Below are 19,882 nucleotides of genomic sequence, written 5' to 3'. Positions count from 1 at the left end.
ACCTTTTAGATTAGATTTTTCTAATTTTGTGAAAAATGACATTGGTGTTGATAGAGAAAGTGTTGCATCTATAAATCGCTTTTGGAAGTATGACCATTTTAGCTATATTGATTCTCCAACCCATGAGCATGAAATATTTTTCTATGTATTTGTGTTGTCTCTGATTTTTCTCAGCCATGTTTTGTAGATTCTCTTTTTCCACACAAAATCTGGTAGAATCACTCATTTATTACTCCATATCATGGAGGAAAAATGAAATAACATTAATTCCCTACTGAGTAATACAACAAAATTCTAAACACCGTAGGTTTTTGGGAAATAGAACTCTTTATTTAAATATCAGTACAGAACAATAAATTACTAAAGGAAACAATCATTAATATAAATTTTTTCTTATTAAATAATTTAAAAATTCTCTTTCAGGACACGGAAAGAATCCCCAGAGGTCTGAAGTCTAACGTGATTATTTTACTGACAATATCATTTGCAAGAAAGAGATCATCATTCAAAGAAGTACTTGATTTTCCAAACAAAAAGAGAAGAAAGAAAATGATATATCTTGTTTAGTCAGCCAGAACTTTAAGTGCAGGAATTCCATCAGGTAGCACCAAGAGAAAATTGCATAATATGTTAGGTATAACTGCTGGTAAAATTGTTGGCAAAAGGAATCAAGGCAGTGAATGAGCTATTGGGTCCATGATGTCATCATGATCTGCTGGAGGCCACTGGACATACACCGTAGGTCGTGGGCAGCTGGCCAGACAGAAGGGCGAGTTTGATCAAGACCGTGCTCACAGGAGCCTTTTGGTATCAGCTTTAACCTTCAGAAAGGACACAAATGTTGGTTTAAGGGGCAGAGAACCCGGATCACTTTTCCAGGGTAATCTTTCCCTAGTCACTCTATGTCTCAGAGCCCCCTGCACTAAGGGACCTATTTTTCCCTTGAGCCTCAACCCTGGCGACTGCAGCTTGGACCTACCTCTTTCCTCCTCTGTCACATCACAGAGTCAGCCCAGGCCCTGCACCTGACCAGGGGATGGAGTGGAGGGGCCTGCAGGTCTGAAGCTGGTAGTGATGGGTCCGCGCCCTCACTCAAGGCCCTCTCTATGATCTGATGTGAAGGCCTAAAACAGGCAAGGGGTGGGGCAGACTTCCAAAAAGAGGGCTCCATATTCCTGTGCCCTTGGCCTTTGGTGGGCCTGCAGGCAAACATCCTTCTTTCCCCTTCTTCTTGAGCCTCTCCTCACACTGGGAGCAGCACCCATTGCTCTGAAGGTGACTGTCCCTGTTCCACCTTATCAATTCCTTGTCCAGCCCAGTGGTGCCTGTGGAACCCCAGCAGCAGCTCAGACCCCCCTTCCTCTGAGTCCACTCTGCTCCAGGCAGGGCCATCAGTGGGCTCAGGATCTGGGGTGTGCAGGAGGATGATGGCAGGGGAGCTGCCTCAGGGCCCAGACTCGAGCTGCACATGTCCATGGGACTGACTTTTTAAAAATCCTTCTCTTGAGCAGCCTCTACTCTTCACCTTCCACCTTAATTCCTGGAACCCAAGCCACTTTCTGTGGGAAGGCAGCCCTGCACTCCCTCCTTTTCAATTAGGTGTACCAAGGTTCTCCCAGCCCCCTCCTCCTGGGATTACACCCAGATCTCTCTTAGCCTCAGAGATGGAATCCCCCTTCCCCTGTCACACCTCATGTAAAGCTACCATGATGCACCTAACCCAATTAAGAGGACTGCCCATGTCTGAATTCCTGCTGCCTGCAGGCCACACACCCTTCCTGAATAGGAACCTGCTCTGAATCAGGCCTGAACTTGCTAAACCTTCTCAAGCTCAACAGACCCTGAGCCTTGGTATGGGCCCCTCCCTTTCCCTCTGGACTCTGAAGGTGAGAATCCATCAGAACTCAGGGCTGAGCTGCCCAGGTCATTGCCAACATTGCCAACAGGCAACACAAGGTCTCATTCACCTGTCTCATGTTAGGATGAGAAGGTCCCAGCCACGGGGAGGGGCGGGACTCCGGGAATTCTCTTTCCCCATCCTGCCTCCTCACCCACCTGCTCCTTGCTCCACTTCCAATTCTGCCCACAGTACCTGTCACTCTAAAGGACTCTCCTCAGATGCCAGGGAGGATGAAGCAGGGGAGGATGATGAGGAGGCAGCAAAGGATGAGGGTGGTGGCTGTGGCCCTGAGTTGGGTTGTGCCTGAGGACATGGCGAGTGGTGCTGAAATGGAAACACAAAAGTGACAACCCTTGTCCAGGCCCCAAATCTGAGGAGACACCTCCTCAGTTCCTGCCACCCTAGGTCATCCTGGAAGGCAAAAGTTTTGTCCTCTCCCCCCTGGTGTGGGGCAGCCAGTATGACAGGTCCTGGCTTAGGAAGGGAGACGGGGTGAGTCTTGTCCTCAGGGAGCTCACACAGCTGCTGAGGGAAGCAAGGTGACAACACACCCCACCCTCCTGCTGTGGGGGAAGAGGAGGTGATGCCCCAGAGTTGGGGAGGGGAGGATCTCTGGGCTGGCGTTGGAAGTGGTTTTGATGGATTTCCAGAACCAGACCAGGGAAAGGAAAGGAAAAGTGATTCTCAAAAGAGGAAACACTAAGGAAAAAGGTCTGAAAACAGTGACACCTGCAGTTTCAAGGCTGGTGAGAAATCCACAGGGCGGGGAGCAGGAGCAAGTGCAGTGAGGAATAGGAGTCAGGAGGGAGAAGGAAGAGGACGGTGGGAGAGCACAGGCATGCCAGTAACCCCAGGAGGAGCGCCCCACGAGGAGGTCATTTTAACGTGAATGTGTATACTGGGATGATTGAAGCTGAACTCAAGAACTAACTTCTTGAGGTCACCATTTCTGATCACATTTGAGATCCCCGTTTCTTTTTCTCCTGTTACCTCCTGCACTTGGCTCCAGGGTGCTGTCCATGCCCATCAAGAAGTCCTCAAGCCATCCTATACAGTCTCCCATTGAGAAGTAATGGAAGGACATGGCCACAACCTTGTCATTCTCCCACTTTTCTTTCATCTTTCTGGCTCCAGGATGAACCGTTGTCCACATTCTCTTCTCTGAGTCAAAGAGGAGGAAGATCTGCCCATCGAAACTGAACTGCCAAGATCCACTGCTGTGTCCTTCAGCTTTCTGCTCACAAGACATCCTTGCCTGCAGGGTGAGGGGTTCTGCCCCCATCAGAGAGAGATCAGCTCTGATCTTGACAAATTTTGCACCCCCATCCTGTTCCCCTTACAATTTGCTGGCCTTACTCTCTCTGCTACATCTTGGCCTTGCCTCTAGACTCTTGAGGGGTATGATGACCTTCCCATTTGTATTTTTTTTTTTTTTTTGAGAAAGGGTCTCGCTCTGTCACCCAGGCTGGATGGAGTGCAGTGGCGCGATCTCGGCTCACTCAGCCTCCTAAGTAGCTGGGACTACAGGCGCCCGCCACCATACCCGGCTAATTTTTTGTATTTTTAGTACAGACAGGGTTTCACTGTGTTAACCAGGATGGTCTCGATCTCTTAACCTCGTGATCCGCCTGCCTCAGCCTCCCAAAATGCTGGGATTACAGGCTTGAGCCACTGCACCTGGCTTTTTTTTTTTTTTTTTTTTTGAGACAAAGTCTCACTCTGTTGCCCAGGCTGGAGTGCAGTGGCACCACCTCGGCTCACTGCAGCGTCTGCCTGCCGGGTTCAAGGGATCCTCCTGCCTCAGCCTCCCAAGTTGCTGGGATTACAGGCATGCGCCACCATGCCTGGCTAATTTTTGCATTTTTGGTAGAGACAGTGTTTCACCATGTTGGTCAGGCTGGTCTCGAATTCCTGACCTTGTGATCGGCCCACCTCTACCTCACAAAGTGCTGGGACTACAGGCGTGAGCCACCGTGCCCAGGACCCTTTTGTATTTTTACATGAAAACTATAAATGCCTCTAACCTACCACTGTATCTGTTCCCTGCTGTCCTGGGCCATCTGAAACTTACCCTTGGGTGTGTAATTCTCCAGCTGAATGTCACGCAGTTGCTCTGTAAGTATGTCCACCACCTCTCTCAGTACTGGGTTCTGTGCTTTCCAGGCCGTTGTGACATTTAGTTTCTTCCCCAGGGGACTGACAGGTGTGACTGTCTTGTTGCCACAGTCATAGTGAAGAAAAGTCTTTTCATCCACCTGGCCTTGAACCGCACACCACCGTGGTCCAGGTCTGAACTTAGGGATGACGGTGATGTCATAGCAAAGAGAGTGAGGGTCTGTGGAGAAAGGCAGGTGAGGGGTGGGTGGGGAGGAAAAGACCCCTAGTTAGCCCCCCTCCACGCTGTGTCAATAAGAGGATGCCTCTGGCAGGCTGGGCTGGCCCAGGAAGGAGTGCCCCCTCCAGAACTGTGGTGTCTACAAGTTTAAGGCGAGTGCTCGCCCCTTGCATGAGGACAAGGAGGAGGAGGAGGAGGAAGTCTCTGTCTGCTGAGAAACCACATGTCCCCAGACATGTCCCACTGCCCCTCTGCCCACATCAGTCAACACGTGACCTTGCTAGAAAGGTGCCAGGCCTCTCTAGCAAGAGAGGAGGAAGGGCCTGGATGGCAGAGGATCTTCAGCAGTAGCCCACGTGGACTGCGGGAGGTGGGAGAGGGTGTGGGTCCACCCCTGTGGATGCTGGTGCTGGTTGAACAGAGTGAGGATGGAACCCCGTTGGATAAAGAAGAGTTAATTATCATGGCCACAGGATTTAACATGTTGGCAAAGCCCCTGGTGATGGCATGCATCTGCTATGAGGAGGCCTTCCTGAAACCTTGGACAAAGAGATGGTCCACACAGCAAGAAATGGAAAATCTGAAAGTCTAAGGCAGGTAGTGGAGGGAGAGATCACAGGCTCAGAGAAGTGCCCATGCCAGAGGGGTCTAAGTGTGAAAATCCAGAACAATGTCCATCCACTGTGCTTATGGGAAACCTGGAGGACTCCTGTTTACCCAGCATATAAAGAAGGCCCCATGAGAAGGCACCAGAATGGAATGAAGCTTAGGGATGCCTATTGCTGAAGGCCAGGGTTGGGGGTAGGAGATGCTGTTCCTGAAATCTGCTCCCAGAGTAATGGGATGAACAATTCTGAAATTCCAAATTCCAGGTGGAGGCTGTCAACTGTCAGGAGCAAGGAGGGTGCAATGATGGAAATGATTAGAGAAGTCACAATGCCAGCTGGGGACCTCAGTTATACAAAGTTATGCCCATGGCTCATAGAACAAAGGGGTCCAAGGTCCAAAAGAGATGCAAACCCACCCCAGATACTGCTGGATTTAAATAATTACAAGAAACAGAGATAAACCAAATCAGGAGGCTGAAAGTAGCCAGTCCATCAAGAACGAGGCTGCTTTGCCTAATTTGCAGAATGAAGCCACTTCTCAGACCCTGAACCCATGACTAGAAGAAGACACCAGTTTCTAGTGAGGAAGGACCCTTTAACCCTGCAGCCAGGACAGTGAGTCCTTGTGGCCTTCTCCAAAGATATTTATGGCCAGTAGAGTTTGCTGTGAAGGGCAATTTTGTAAACATGTAAAGGTGTGCAGGGAATATATTCTCCATTGTAACTACTCAACTCTGCTGTTGAAGTTCAAAAGCAGCCATAGACAATCCATGCATGATGAGCGAGGCTGGACCTACCTTAAGTGCCCAATGACCCAAGACCCCCTAAGACCCTAGAGGTACATGTGGTCACAATGTCTAATTGGAGAATCACAACAGAGATTCCATGTGAATATTCAGAGACAAGGCAATGCCACTCACAGCAAGGAAATCGCAACATTAAGCAGTGGCTCCTGTAGAGTACTGCACCTTGGCAGAGATGGGGCCTTTTGCCATGCATATAAAGAAGGCCCATGACAAGGCACCAGAATGGAATGAAGCTTAGGGATGCCTATTGCTGAAGGCCTCAGAGCTGCCCATTACTGGTGGGCTCCTCACCCTCTAGGTCATTAGGAAGTTAGGCCCAGCAGTGAGAAGACGCAGGTGGTTCTTCTGGGATGGGCAGGAGCAGGGCCACCGGGAACCAAGAAGCTGCACAAGCAGTTGGACCCGATCCCCAGGACACCACGTGGCTGCACCCCCTCACCCTCAGCTCACACCTGAGGCTTCAGGGAGGGTACCTGATGGTCCCCGTGGATGCCACTCAGCACAAAGGAGGGGAGAATAAGCCCCCAACTATGGGACCCCCACTCCCATCACATCCACACCACCCAGAAGCCACAGACAAGGTAGGACCACCTTCTACTCTCCAACTGACATCAGAGACATCACTTGGAGATGACACCATAGGGGATGGGGCACTATTCACTGGGACATTGTAATCCCCTGATCTGGGATCAGCAACCTAGGACAGGGTCCAAATCTGGTCCCCCCTATTTGAAGGTTGCCATTGCCTGCTGTTGCTCTACAAAGGGACAGGACTGGACACTGAGACGGAGAACCCACGGCCTGCAAAGATCACAGGGCATCCTTCCTCCCTTTCTAGAAAGAGTTTGCTGACCCCTGTCTACACAGTGACTATTCTCTATGACGCTGACACCCCCGTAGGAAGAACAGGCGGTCTGGGCCCCAAGGGCAGAAGTGGGTGCCTCTACTCACCAGAGTTCCCAGGGTCATCCTGGAGGAAATGGTGCTTCCCATCCCCCCTGCACAGGTTCTGAGGGGAGCTTGGGGTGTGTTTGCTGGGGTGTGTCCTCAGGCAAGAGGCAGAAGGTGCGACGTGGTGTAGGAGGTGGTGAGGTCCCCTTCATGGATGGGGAGACCTCTGGGGTGACCAGCTGGGCTGAGGTGGGCAGTAAGAGGACGTGACCTGGGTGGTGGCAGTGGATGGTGAGGGGAGGGGTGGCGGTTGTCTGCTGAGCCCCTGGGTGCAGGTGAGTGTCTACAGGAAAGTGCAGGGAAAAATTCAAGGGCACGCAGCCCTGGGGGCGCTGGAGGGTTTGTGTGGTGGAGAGCGGGTGAGAGCAGAGCAGGCCTGTGGCTGGTGGGGGTGTCTGTGATCGCGTCCCTGTGGAATCCCGCTTCACCCCTGTCCTGTCCCCAGCTCCGGTTCCGGGGGCTCTGGTTTTTCCTTCCCGAGGGCGGGTGGGACTGCCAGGCTGCACCAGGGATCCCCGCCCCACCTCGCTCTCTGCAGCCCTCCGGCCCCTCCACCCTCCTGCCAGCCTCCTTTCCACCCCGCTCCTTTTCGCCTCTTCCCGGGCAAGAAGCAGCCTCGGGGACTGCACCCAGCAGGAAGGAGCCGCCGACCGGAACTGAACGGGGGCGCAGTTAGGGGAGATCTCCCCCGTCCTTCTAGAAGCCTCCCCTCCTCTGAAACCCGCGGCAGTTCACAGCCCTCCAGGCTTGGTCCCCGCCCGGCTTAGGCTCCATCCACGAACTCACCGGCTCGCCCAGCCCGGGACCAGCCGGACAGCAGGAGCAGAAGCGGGAGGCACAGAAGGATCTTGGTAGCGGCGGCTGCTGCCATTAAGGACCCAGAGCGCTAGGGATGAGAGACTTGATGGAAGGAGAGCCTGGAAGATGAATCACCTCAAGGTTTTAAAGCCTCCCTATGTACGGGCGCGCCCCCCGTTTCCCGCTGTCATAGCGTCAAGCGGGTCATAGCGTCACGCGGCTAGAAATATGATTGGCTGCCCTGACGGTGTCCCTCCCCTTCCCGGGCGTCCCTCCCCTTTGTCCCAACCCCCTTCGGGTTGGTGTCTGGGTGTCCGCCCGGCTCCTGCCAAGACACGGTTCCTTCCACGACAGACTCATTTAATCATCACAACATTTTTTTATTGAAGGTGAAGAAACTTGCAGAGGAATATTCAGCGGCGGCGGCGTCTCCCTGTCCCCGCCTGGGTCCGCGACGCTCTCCCTCCCTCCGCCTGCGCCGCGAGGTCCCTGGCTTATCATGCTCTGGGCGCAGCCACGGGCCTGATCGCGTCCCCTCCACTACTGCGCCAGTTCCCAGTGGACGTGATTACAGTCCGGGCTAGGTTTTATTATTTATTTATTTATTTATTTATTTATTTAGAGACGGAGTTTCGCTCTTGTTGCCCAGGCTGGAGTGCAGTGGCGTGATCTCGGCTCACCGCAATCGCCGCTTCCCGGGTTCAAGGGATTCTCTGGCCTCAGCTTCCGGAGTAGCTGGGATTACAGACGCCCTCCACCACGCCCGGCGAATTGTTTGTATTTTTGGTAGAGATGGGGTTTCATCTTGTTGGCCAGGCTGGTCTCAAACTCATGACCTTAGGTGATCCACCCGTCTCGGCCTCCCAAAGTGCTGGGATTACAGGCGTTAGCCACCGCGCCTGGCCCGGGCTAGGTTTTATTACAGGAGCAGCAGGCAGGGTTCCAGAGGTTTAAAACAACATATTGTGCACTAAACAACTGGTCAAGATGGTAAATTTTATCTTCTATGTTTTTACCAAAATTAAACAGCTTTAAAAATATATATTAAAAAATTATGTCTTGTTCCTGCTCTGCCCAATGCAGATTGGCCAAAAGAGTCTACTTATTAAAATCGAGGACAACATGGAGGACCCCGTTCCTAAAATCTCAACCTGTGACACACTTGCTGATTTAGAAAGCTCCTCAGAGAGATGGGCCCTGAGCTCCCAGTTCAGCAGCCTCCCTCGCCCAGGTCCACGGATGGCACAGGGGGCTCAGCAGAGCAGGTTCAAGTGAAAGTTCCTGGTGGTTCCCCACTGTTAGTGCATTCTGCTGGCCTCTTCGCCCTGGGCAAAGGGCCAGCCACCCTTCAAAGCTAGGCACAAATGCCCGGTCCCATGCGTGTCCCTCATGTTCCCACAATACAGAACACCCTCCTGCTCGCTGAGACCTGGGTCCACAGTGAGTGCATCCAGATCTCCCTGTGTGACAACTGCTCACACAATTTAATTTGTGTGTGTAAGCATGTGTGACAGACTCTTACTCTGTCACCAGTCTGGAGTGCAGTGGCACGATCATAATTCACTGAATCCTCAACCTCCTGGGCTCAAGGCTTACTCCCTACTCAATATTGGAGAGTGTGGGGCAAGATAGTCTGAGCCACTAGCTGAGCCGTCCTCTTGTTACTGTTTCCTATGCCCTGGCAGATGCCTCAGTAGTATTCACTCCTGGATTTACCAAGCCCTGTGTTAGACTGGTCCAGGGGCTGAGTGGGTCTTGGCTGTGAGTGCAACTGGGGTGAGTTATTCTGCCAGGATTGGGAACTGTGTTACTCAGGAAACTTTTCTCATCACCCACCCCAATCCTGTCCCAGATGGGAGGAGCAGTGAGTGCTGTGTCCAGGCTCCCTGTCTTCCCAGTGCTCCCAGCATCACATGAGCTCCTCCCCAGATGGTGTGGGGTCTGGGCTCTCCATGTTCACCATGCTCCCACCATTGGCTCCCCATTTCACTGCTCTCCCAGGATCATCCCAGCCCCTCCAGGGTCACTGCCTGACCAGGTGGGGGTTGGGTGAAGAGGCAGAGGTCAGGGCAAGACCCCTGGTCCATTCTGACTTTAGGTTCCTCTCTGAAACGCGACTGCATTCCACATCCTGTTCCTCTGGCAACCTCAGTTGGGATCACCTGTAGGGCAGTGTAGAATCCTGGTGGGTGATGACCAATTCCTGCCACCGTGGCTTTTCAAGTATATCGATTTTTCCTAAAATGGATAAAGAGACTGGCAATAAGTTATGGAAATACTGTTTTCCTTACTAACAGTAGATACGTGTTTATGTATCAATTCTGGTTTTTAAAACAAATATAAACCCATAGGCACTCTGCTGAACACAGATTCTATCTCAAAATAACACACTTTGAAGATCTTGCAATACCTGCACATACAGATTTTTTCCTTTTTATCTCTGCACATTACATAGAATGACTGCATCACAACAAAAGTAACCAGTGTCTGTGTCTGAAGATCCAGACGGTCTCCAGTGACTTTTAGAGAAGCGAAATGCTGCAGAAACTGTGCTTGCATGAATCACAATTTCATTGTGTAGAATAGATTTCCAGACACAGAATTGCTGTGCGAAGTAATGCACCTTTAAAGCATCTCATGTCATAGGATGGCAATGCTGGCGACACTCTTGTCTGTGATTGTGATGACCCAGCTTGGGCAGAGGATGGTGAAACATCCACCGTAGAGGGAGGGGAAACTGGTACAGGCTTCCTGAAGGACAGGGTGACAGGGTTCATCAAGGGTCAAAAATATCCGCGTCTGAATTGAGAATATGTATTTATATTCGTTTGAAACGGCATAAAGACTCCCTGGAAAGATGAGAAGAATCAAATAAACTTTCCTCCCTGGCGTGTGGCCAATGAGAGTGGACGCAGGCAGGGGCGGGGGAGCCTTTCACACATGACTTTTCAGGGTTTTGATTCTGAAACAGGTGAAAATGTGGAGGTGAAGTAGTAAGTAAGAGTGGGGCCGAGAGTCCCAGGGACGGTCACACGGTGGGCCCGCCTGATCTGTTGGGGGCCACTAGGGTCCGGGGAGGGGAACCCGGGCAGCTGCGTGCGGGGCTGCTGCAGTGACGAGGCACCGGTTCTAGATATTTACCCAACGGTGTTGTCACAAAGGGGATATTATAGGTGATTTCTGATTTCAACCGCAGATGACTTTCGGAGACAGTTCGCATATGCGGTTTCAGTTTTCACCCTGCTGCGTCCTCTCCGGGTTCTGCGCGCTCCTCCCAGGACGCCCGCTTCGCCCGAGCTCCGGACCCGGGTCCTGCCCGGTTGAGACCGCCGAGTGGGTGCCACGCTGCCCGCCGATGCTCCCGGGCCTCCGGGTCCACAGCCTCCGGACAAAACGGCCTTTCGAAGACCTGGGAGGACTCGCCGGTCGCGACAAGGAACCGTGGCAGGAGACAGGAAATGCGGGGCCTGGTGGGGTGAAGAGCACGAGGTTCCTCCTTCATCCTCGCGGCGACTTTGCCACCGGCTCAGTGTGGAGACGTCACAGTCCCGCTCGGATCCCTGGGGATCCGACAGTGTGGCCCCCACGAGGACCCCCATCCTCCTTGCCCTGGGGCTGCTGCGGGAGGGCGCCCATGGCGCACTAGGTCCTGAGTGCCCAGGATCCAACAGGGGCTTCCCGTTGTCGCCTCCCCGACCCCGCCGCTCGCGGTCCAGGGCTCCTGGTTTCTCCACTGGGCTGGGGGCCCCGAGCATGGACGTCTTGAGGCAGAGAAAACCTTGGGATGGTTGGAAATGAAGGACGGGAGGGAGAACCAGAGAAAGGGAGAGGAAGGAAGCAGGTAGGGCCAGAGAACAAAGAGAAACCTCCGCCAGGAAAATGGGAAGAGGATGACACAGGAACAGCCCTACACTCCACCAACTCTCAGTCTCCTGCTCTCTGCCTTGTAAGGAACGCAGGCCCCACCCCCTCCAGCCTCACAGTGTTTGGGGTCACCCATTCCAGCGGGGTGAGGCGTCCCCTTGTGGGTGCTGTTGGCATTTCCCTGAGGTCTGTGGACACTGAGCACCTTTTCCTGGGCTCACTGCCATTTGCATTCTTCTTCCGATGCCAGTGGGCAACCGGTGGTCCCCAAACTCTGATGAGACCTCGACCCCAGCCGGTGTCGGGCTCTTGACACCGCCTGGGGAAATGAATTCTAGGACCAGTAGGAAAATAGAGAAAGGACGGAGATTTTTTTGTAAAAGGGAAAGTACACACTCATGTAAAGGGAATGCAGGGGAACTCAAGAGAGAGGCAGGTGCAAGGGGGTTTAGGGCTGCCACCTTTCTGGGTTTCTTTAACAAGGGGTGGAATATTCATGAAAATTCCTAAAAGAAGGTGGAGACTGCTCAGAACTGTGGTGCCACCCATTTTTACACCAAATATTGGTGTTCTCTGAATTGCCAAGACGCTGGTGTGTGTGCGTTTAGTATGTCAATTAGTGTATAATAGGGTCCTAGGTGAAACCGAGGCCAAACCCAGGGCCATGTTGGGTCCACTCATTCTTAGCCAGCCTGGTCCATACCCTGTCTTTTAGGGTCTTATCAGCCCAGAGCCTCTGCAGATATTTCAACAGATTCCTTTTGCTAGTCACCTGAAACTGCTGCCTAAAGTTTTTTTCTTCTTTTGTGACCACACTGTATTATACCTGTCTCACTTTGGAGAAACATCTTTTTGAATTCTTTGCATATATTTAAATTGGGTTATTTTGCTTTATAATGTTGGGTTGCAAGAGTTCTTTATGTATTCAGGATACCAGTCCCTTACTAGATATACGATTTTCAAATGCTTTCTCTCATTCTATAAGGATTTTTTTAACCTAAATGGAGTCCTTTTTGAAGCACAAAAGTTTTACATTTGCATGAAATGAAATTAAACTACCTTTTATTTTGTCATTTATGCTACTGGCATACAGTACTTAAGAAGCATTAGCCAAATCCGGGGTCACAAAAATTTACTGCTCTGCTTTCTTCTGAGACTTTCATAGTTTCATGTCTTAGGTGAACATCTGCCATTCATCTAGAACTAGTTTTTGTGTGTGCTGTAAGGAAGGGGTCAGCCTCATTCTTCTGCATGCAGCATCCAGTTGTCCCAGCACCATTCACTGTAGTGTAGGAGGCACCTGCCCAACCTCCTGTCCCTCCCTCCTGCACTTGGGGTCAGAATTGCCTCCTACTGAACGGTTCTCACAGGGTTTGCACCAATGAAATCCCCTCATGTGAAACCCATGTAGGAACCTGCTTCTCGGAGGACCTGGACTAGGGAGTGGGTTCACCAGAGGAAATCATATTTCATGAGATGGAACATTCTGGGAATACTGGCACTCAGCATACCCTTTAATTCATCAAAAGTGAAAAATCACATTATTTGGTCATTTGGGTCCCACAATTCTTCTGTCAATTTAGTTTACTTGGGTTTATATTTTTTGTTGTTGTTTCTGCTGCAATTGTTGTTGTTTTCTTTGAGACAGGCTCTCACACTGTCACCCAGGCTCAAGTGATCCTCCTACCTTAGCCTCCTGAGGAGCTGGGACTACAGTCACATCCTACTACACCTGGTCAATTTTTTAAATTTTCTGTAGAGACAGGGTCTCACCATGTTACTTGCCATGGCTGATCTCCAACTCCTAGCCTCAAGTGTTCCTCCAACATTGGCCTTCCAAAGTTCTGGGATTACAGGCATGAGTCACCAATTCTGACCCAAAAAGTTACGGCTTTTTAGTTTTTACTTTTCACATGGTTGTATGACATTATGTAGATTAAAATTCCATATAAGTAACTTGGGTAATGCTATACAATAAAATGCTTTATTCAGCCACAGCTTTCTAAAAATAGATGTGGCATCAAAATGCGCATTCATCAAATCTTGAAGGAGTTTCAAATCTTTAGAGTGACTCTGAACTCTCGTTTTGGTTGACACAATAATCCATAAAAACAAATAAAGCACCCATTCTGATCTGGAAGGGGTAACGAGGTGAAAATATTGATAAGCCAAAGTGACAGCCTCTTTTGTAGACATGATCCTGCCTAAATTTCTCATGCCTCACAAAAGAGGGCCCTGAATTCCCTGCTTCTCCAGAGCTCCACGCAGTCCTTGAAGCACTCTCTGGCTGTCTCTGCAAGTGGCTGAACAGCTCCTCTTGCTCTCTGTGGGTCTGTGGAGGCTCCAGGTCCCCTAGGCCCAGGTGCTGTCATGCTCACCAGGTCCCACCAAGAGTGCACCCCACCGTGGATGGTGGAGGAGACCAGGTATAGCTGCTCCTGCCCCTACCCCTCTCCTGACCAGCCAATCTTAATAGGAGGAAGGAGCAGGGATGAGTGGAGCCATGGAGGTTGGTGCTGGAAAGAACAGAAATGAAGACCTTTATCCCATCCCCCAAATGATGGGGATCCCTTTCTGAGTTCTAGCAGCCCTTTGGTAGTCTGATGATTAGATTCCTCCCATGCGTCTTAAACCCTATCGTATGGCAGGCACTGTGCTAGGTGCTGGGTTTACACGTGGGTGATGGATGTGTCCAGTCCTCCTGGAACTTAGAAACCAGATATGTCCAGTCCTTCAGGCACTTAGAATCCAGGTACAGAAACAAACATCTACGTGGCTGCTGCTGCTGATGTGTTGTCCTCGAGATGGTTGGGGCTATGAAAGGGCAGAAGAGGGGGTGACTCATTCTGCTTGGGAAGTTGCATGGAGGTTTCTTGGGAGGTGGCATTTCAGACTGCTCTTGTAGAAACTGGAAGAATACAGTGTGGCCAGGTGGGAGGAGAAGACAGGGCACCCAGCAGAGGGACAAGCATGAGGAGGAGGCCTGGGGTGCAAATATCATAGAACTTTGGGGAGCTATGAGAAGTCTGCAGTAATGAACCCTTAGTTACTGGGGTAGACTCTTTCCACAGGGAGGAGGGAATATCTGGAAGGAAGGTAGGGAAGGAGGGGTGGGCAGGAACCTGTCCTGGGGTCCCTGTCTCCCTTCACAGGAAATCAAGTCACCATTCATACATATACATATAGCATACACTCCCACACACACACAGACACACACATAGAGATATGCACATGTGGTCTCACACACACAGAGAGACATGCATGCATAGTCTCACACAAACACACACAGTCGCATGCACAGTCTCACACACACACTACACAGGCACACACACATATGCACACACACAGGCACACAGACACACACATACAAACATACAAACGTTCATGCACAAATACAGACACACACACACACGCACGTGCACACACAGACATACATAAACACACGGGAGAAAGTGGGTGTCATCTCGAGAGTTCTTGTGTCTGTCCCATCCCACCCACTCACCTGTCACCTCTGGGGCTGTCTCCCAGCTCATGAAGGATTTCTGAAGCCATCAAGCAGTATGTCACTGTGTGATCTGAAACACTCAGACACCTCCTCACTCTGACCTTCCTTCCTGGTATCCTTGGCTCTGGGATGAAGCAGCGTCCTGTGGGTTTTCGCGGTAGTAAAAGAGAAACCTCTCCCCTGGGGCAGAACTGCTGGGCCACCAGAGAGCACCCCTCTGCTCTTTGCCCTCAGGGCATCTTGATCTGCAGGGTGAGAGGAACTGCCCCAATCCCCTGAAATAAACTCTTTATTGATCTCTCATCCACCATGATGTCACAATTGTCTCATCCACCATGATGTCACAATTGTCTCATCCGCCATGATGTCACAAACTCACTGTGAGCAAACCCTCTGGGCTTATTGAAATATTTGAAAGATTAGTGGTGCCATCTGCTGGACACCGCAGGAAGTACTGATCCAAAGTATTTTATAGTTTCAACATCAGACTATGCACCATTGCTTTAGATGACATTGTAGTTTTACAATCTGTGATTTCAACAGTTGCTGTGATAAAAAACCAAGAATCCCTGCAAAAATAGGTATGAAATAGGAAATCAGGGTGGCTGTGTCCAATCTGCTTCCAAAGTTTGAGAAGTTGTTCAGTGCCCAGTAGGTACACATGTCCATTAGTAAACATTTGTGCTTATTTAAGAAAGAAATAAACATACTACTTTTTCAATTTATGTGAAATATTTTCTTAAATGGCAATAAAATTGCTAGGTCATAAATATTTATTGTTTGCTCCTGACTACTTAACGAATACATTCTTGGGTACTCTTTTTTTATAGGGTTGTCTTGAAAATGTTACAAAGGCACCTTCTGGATTTTCCCTGGACCACTCCAGTACATTTCATGGGCTCTGCCTCCTGCAGGAAGGCATGAAGCCAGGACACACATGTTACTTTTTTGGGAGTCCTTCCTGTTTAGCCTGTTGAGGACCTGGAGACTCCCTTCCCACTCTTCCTCTCCATTACCTTGCTCCCCACCACCTGAATCATCTGTCACTTTCCTACACCTGATGCAATGCACCTGCTCATTACGTTCACCTGCTGTCCCCACTGGAGCACGGATTTTGTCTGTTTTCCTCAGAGAAGTATCCACAGCACAGCTCACTGTTGGTTCTGAGGCTGTACTTACCCTGTGAGTGAATAAATGAGAGGCAGTGAGTGGGGCAGCGGCCTCTTTCCTGTCCATTTGTTCACTACACTTTAGATGGTAACTTAGGATGTGGTGTAGACCAGTGTTTCCTGGGCACAATAAATCAGAATATATTGTGAAGACAAGAAGTAGAAAGAAATGTTAGGTGGAAGAATATGAATTTTCAAGTAGGAGTTGGGCAGAGTGAGAAACCAATCAGGAAAGGGGTAAGTTTGGTTTGCTTGTAGATAACATGTGGAGAAATGCAGCCATCTGCAATGGAGACTGGGCGCTGTTAGATTCGTTTGCGCCAAGACCACCTCCACTACCTGCCCTTGTCCTACTCTCTCCCGAGGCTGAATGCAGCTCCTGTGCCTTCAGTGCCAAGGAAGCCATAGTTTCAGGTCAGAGGAAGGGCTGGGGCGGACCCTGGAAAAGGAGAGGGTGGGTACAGAAGGGGACAGCTGGGAGCAATGAGTTCCTGAGGATAAACAAAAAAGGTCACTTGAAAATGGAACAAAAAAGGAATAAAGAACAAGGTGGAAATCATCTGAAATTCCATTATGCACAGTTTAATGTTAGGGTTTTAGTAGAATCATCTTCAATTTTTATAAAATTATGATCATACACCTTATAATTATTTTAAATGACTAGAGTTTATTTTTCTAGGGCAGGGTTAGAGTTTATAGTGCAGAGTTCTCTCTTGCCTGTGTCAGTTAAACCCACTTTTTTTTGCCTCGTGTCAATTTGTTTATTCATTTTTATTTTTAAATTTTACTTTAAGTTATTGGATACATGTGCAGAATGCGCAGGTTTGTTACATAGGTATACATCTGCCATGGTGGTTTACTGCACCTATCAATCCATCACCTAGGTTTTAAGCCCCACATGCATTAGGTATTTGTCCTAATGCTCTCTCTCCCCTTGCCCCCAACCCCCTGACAGGCCCCGGTGTGTGATGTTCTCCTCCCTGTGTCCATGTGTTCTCATTGGTCAACTCCCGCTTATGAGTGAGAACATTCGGTTTTCTGTTCCTGTGTTAGTTTGCTGAGAATGATGGTTTCCAGCTTCATTCATGTCCCTGCAAAGGACATGAACTCATTCTTTTTTTTTTTTTTTTTTTTTTTTTTGAGATGGAGTCTCACCACTCTGTCACCCAGGCTGGAATGCAGTGGCGCAATCTCGGCTCACTGCAAGTTCTGCCTCCTAGGTTCACGCCATTCTCCTGCCTCAGCCTCCCGAGTAACTGGGACTATAGGTGCCTGCCACCAAACCCGTCTATTTTTTGTATTTTTAGTAGAGACGGGGTTTTGCCGTGTTATCCAGGATTGTCTTGATCTCCTGACCTCGTGATCTGCCCGCCTTGGCCTCCCAAAGTGCTGGTAGTACAGGCGTGAGCCACCGCGCCCGGCCTGAATTCATTCTTTTTTATGGCTGCATACTATTGCCTGGTATATATGTGCCACGTTTTCTTTATCTGGTCTATTATTGATAGCCATTCAGGTTGGTTCCAAGTCTTTGCTATTGTAAATAGTGCTGCAATAAACATACCTGTGTATGTGTTTTTATAGTAGAATGATTTATGATCCTTTGGGTATACACCCAGTAATGGGATTGCTGTGTCAAACGGTATTACTCGTTCTAGATTCTTGACGAATCACCACACTGTCTTCCACAATGGTTGAACTAATTTACACTCCCACCAACAGTGTAGAAGAGCTCTTATTTCTCCACATCCTCGCCATCATATTTATTCATTTTTATTTTCAACTTTTATTATAAAGAGTACACGTGCAGGTTTGTTACATGGGTCAATTGTGGGAGGCTGCGGCTTGGGGTCCCAATAATCCCAGACAGTAAGCATCATACCCAGTGGGTGGTTCTTCAGCCCACGTGCCCCTCCCCACTCCCCTGTCTAGTGATCTCCAGTGTCTGTGGTTCCCATCTTTACATTCATGTGTATTTAATGTTTAGCTCCCACTTATAAACGGGAACCTGCGGTGTGCAGTTGCCTGTTCTTGTGTTAGGTCACCTAGGATAATGGCCTCCAATTCCAACCATGTTGCTGAAAAGAACTTGACTTTGTTGTGTTTCATGGCTGCATGGATTTCCATGGTCCATATGTACCAGGTTTTCTTCATTCAGTCCACTGCTCCTGGGCACTTAGATTGATTCTGTGTCCTTGCTAGTGAGAATAGCACTGCAATGAACATACGGGCCTATTGGACTGAATAAATTATTCTCCTTTAAGTATATCCCCAGCAGTGGAATTGCTGGGTCAAATGGTAGTTCTATTTTTGGTTCTTTGAGAAATCTCCAAACTGCTTTCCATAGTGGCTGAACTAGTACTACTTTGCCTTTTCAGCAAAAGTGTCTAAGTGTTCCCTTTTCTTCTCAGCCTCACCAATATCTGTGGTTTTTTTGAAATTTTAAGGATAGCCATTTTGATGGGTATGGGATGGTACCTCACTGTGGTTTTGATCTGCATTTCTCTGATGATTGCTCATATTGAGCATTATTTCATGTTTCTTGGCCACTTGTAGGTCTTCTTTTGAAAAGTGTCTGTTCACGTTCTTTGCTTATTTTTTAACTGGGTTTTTTGTTCTTGCTTGTTTAATTGTTTAATTTCCTTGTAGATTGTGCATATTCGACGCTTGTCAGATGCATAGTTTGCAGACATTTCTCCCATTTTATAGACTGTTGACTGTGTTCCTAGTTTCTTTTGCTGTGCAGAAGCTCTTCAGTTTAATGAAGTCCCATTTGGCAATTTTCAGTTTTGGTTGCAATTGCTTTGGCTGTCTTCATCATGAAATCTTCGCCAGGCCCTACGTCCAGAGTGGTATTTCCTAGGTTATTTTCCAGAATTTTTATAGTTTTAGGACTTACATTTAAATCTTTAATCCATATCAAGTTATTTTACATATATGGTGAAATGTAGAGGTTCAGTTTCATTCTTCTGCACATGGATATCCCAGTACCATTTGTTGAATGGGGAGTCTTTCCCCATTGCTTATTTTTGTTGATTTTGTTGAAGGTTAGATGGCTGTAGGTGTGAAGGTTTCTTTCTGAGTTCTCTATTCTGTTCCACTGATCTAAGTGTCTATTTTTGTACCAGTACCATTCTGTTTTGATCACTGTAGCCTTATATTATAGTTTGAAGTCGGGCAATGTGATGTCTCTGGCTTTGTTCTTTTTGCTTATGATTGTTTTGGCTATTTGGGCTCTTTTTAAATTCCCAATAATTTTTAGGTTAGATTTTTCTGTGAAAAATGACATTGGTATTTTGATAGGGATAGCGTTGGATCTATAAATTGCTTTTGGAAGTATTGCCATTTTGCCTATATCGATTCTCCCAACCCATGAGCATGAAATATTTTTTCCACTTATTTGTGTTGTCTCTGATTTTTTTTCAGCCACGTTTTGTAGTTTTCTTGGAAAGATCTTTCATCTCTTTGGTTAGATTAACTATTAGGCATTTACTTTTCTTTGTTGGTTTTGTAAATGCGATTGTGTTCTTGCTTTCATTCTCAGCTAGAATATTATTGGTGTATAAGAATGCTCTTGATTGTGTACATTGATTTTGTATCCTGAAACTTTACTGAATTGATATGTCAGTTCCAGGAGCCTTCCGACAGGGTCTTTAGGGTTTACTATGTATGGAATCACATCACTGGCAAAGAGACATGTTTGACTTTTTCTTTTCCTATTTGAACGCCTTTTCTTTCCTTCACTTGCCAATGGCTCTGGTTAGGATTTTTCTGTCCTGAGTACACTCTGGTCTCAATCAAATGGGCTGAAGACAGCAATTTCCTGTCCTGTGATCAACAAGTTTATTAAAAGATTCTATGCTGATGGAGCTCTATACCTGTTGTAAGCCAAAATTTCTCCTCTTTGGAAAAACTCTGTGGGCACCCAGGTGACTACACATATTTCCAA

At 48.6% G+C, this 19,882-nt stretch overlaps 1 protein-coding gene and 1 long non-coding RNA gene across 4 annotated transcripts, besides 4 other annotated features; both read right to left on the bottom strand.

The window, feature by feature from the left end:
* Positions 1 to 308: 308 nt before the first annotated feature.
* Positions 309 to 7,530, bottom strand: ULBP2 (UL16 binding protein 2). 3 transcript variants are annotated; one of them, NM_025217.4, is made up of 5 exons: positions 7,387 to 7,530; positions 3,972 to 4,235; positions 2,891 to 3,172; positions 2,093 to 2,224; positions 309 to 821 (listed from the first exon to the last, which is right to left on the bottom strand). In NM_025217.4, the coding sequence occupies exons 1-4, from the start codon at positions 7,469 to 7,471 to the stop codon at positions 2,115 to 2,117; spliced, it is 741 nt and encodes a 246-aa protein (NP_079493.1). In that variant the 5' UTR covers positions 7,472 to 7,530; the 3' UTR covers positions 309 to 821; positions 2,093 to 2,114. The 3 variants fall into 3 exon arrangements, with proteins under 3 accessions (NP_079493.1, XP_016866810.1, XP_047275333.1); XM_017011321.2 differs by lacking the exon at positions 2,093 to 2,224; XM_047419377.1 differs by lacking the exon at positions 309 to 821 and having other exon boundaries at positions 2,088 to 2,224.
* Positions 7,533 to 7,662: a silencer, noted in NCBI's record as "silent region_17672". NCBI's record gives its function as "represses an Ori minimal core promoter by ATAC-STARR-seq in GM12878 lymphoblastoid cells {active_cell/tissue: GM12878}" and the evidence as "EXISTENCE:reporter gene assay evidence [ECO:0000049][PMID:35858748]".
* Positions 10,193 to 10,883: an enhancer, noted in NCBI's record as "H3K27ac-H3K4me1 hESC enhancer chr6:150259797-150260487 (GRCh37/hg19 assembly coordinates)". NCBI's record gives its function as "activates a minimal SCP1, AML or CMV promoter by ChIP-STARR-seq in naive H9 embryonic stem cells {active_cell/tissue: H9 hESC(naive)}" and the evidence as "EXISTENCE:reporter gene assay evidence [ECO:0000049][PMID:30033119]".
* Positions 10,405 to 10,704: an enhancer, noted in NCBI's record as "active region_25269". NCBI's record gives its function as "activates an Ori minimal core promoter by ATAC-STARR-seq in GM12878 lymphoblastoid cells {active_cell/tissue: GM12878}" and the evidence as "EXISTENCE:reporter gene assay evidence [ECO:0000049][PMID:35858748]".
* Positions 10,884 to 11,574: an enhancer, noted in NCBI's record as "H3K27ac-H3K4me1 hESC enhancer chr6:150259106-150259796 (GRCh37/hg19 assembly coordinates)". NCBI's record gives its function as "activates a minimal SCP1, AML or CMV promoter by ChIP-STARR-seq in primed H9 embryonic stem cells {active_cell/tissue: H9 hESC(primed)}" and the evidence as "EXISTENCE:reporter gene assay evidence [ECO:0000049][PMID:30033119]".
* On the bottom strand, positions 13,225 to 15,031 carry LOC105378052 (uncharacterized). Its single transcript, NR_134598.1, has 2 exons — positions 14,765 to 15,031; positions 13,225 to 14,076 (listed from the first exon to the last, which is right to left on the bottom strand). It is a non-coding gene; the product is annotated as an uncharacterized LOC105378052 (long non-coding RNA).
* Between the last annotated feature and the right edge of the window lie 4,851 nt (positions 15,032 to 19,882).

This window comes from Homo sapiens, chromosome 6 (genome assembly GCF_000001405.40).
Source record: "Homo sapiens chromosome 6, GRCh38.p14 Primary Assembly".
In the NCBI taxonomy this organism is placed as follows: domain Eukaryota; kingdom Metazoa; phylum Chordata; class Mammalia; order Primates; family Hominidae; genus Homo; species Homo sapiens.
The sequence above is the reverse complement of the archived record's forward strand: the minus strand, read 5'-3'. Positions and strand labels throughout refer to the sequence as shown.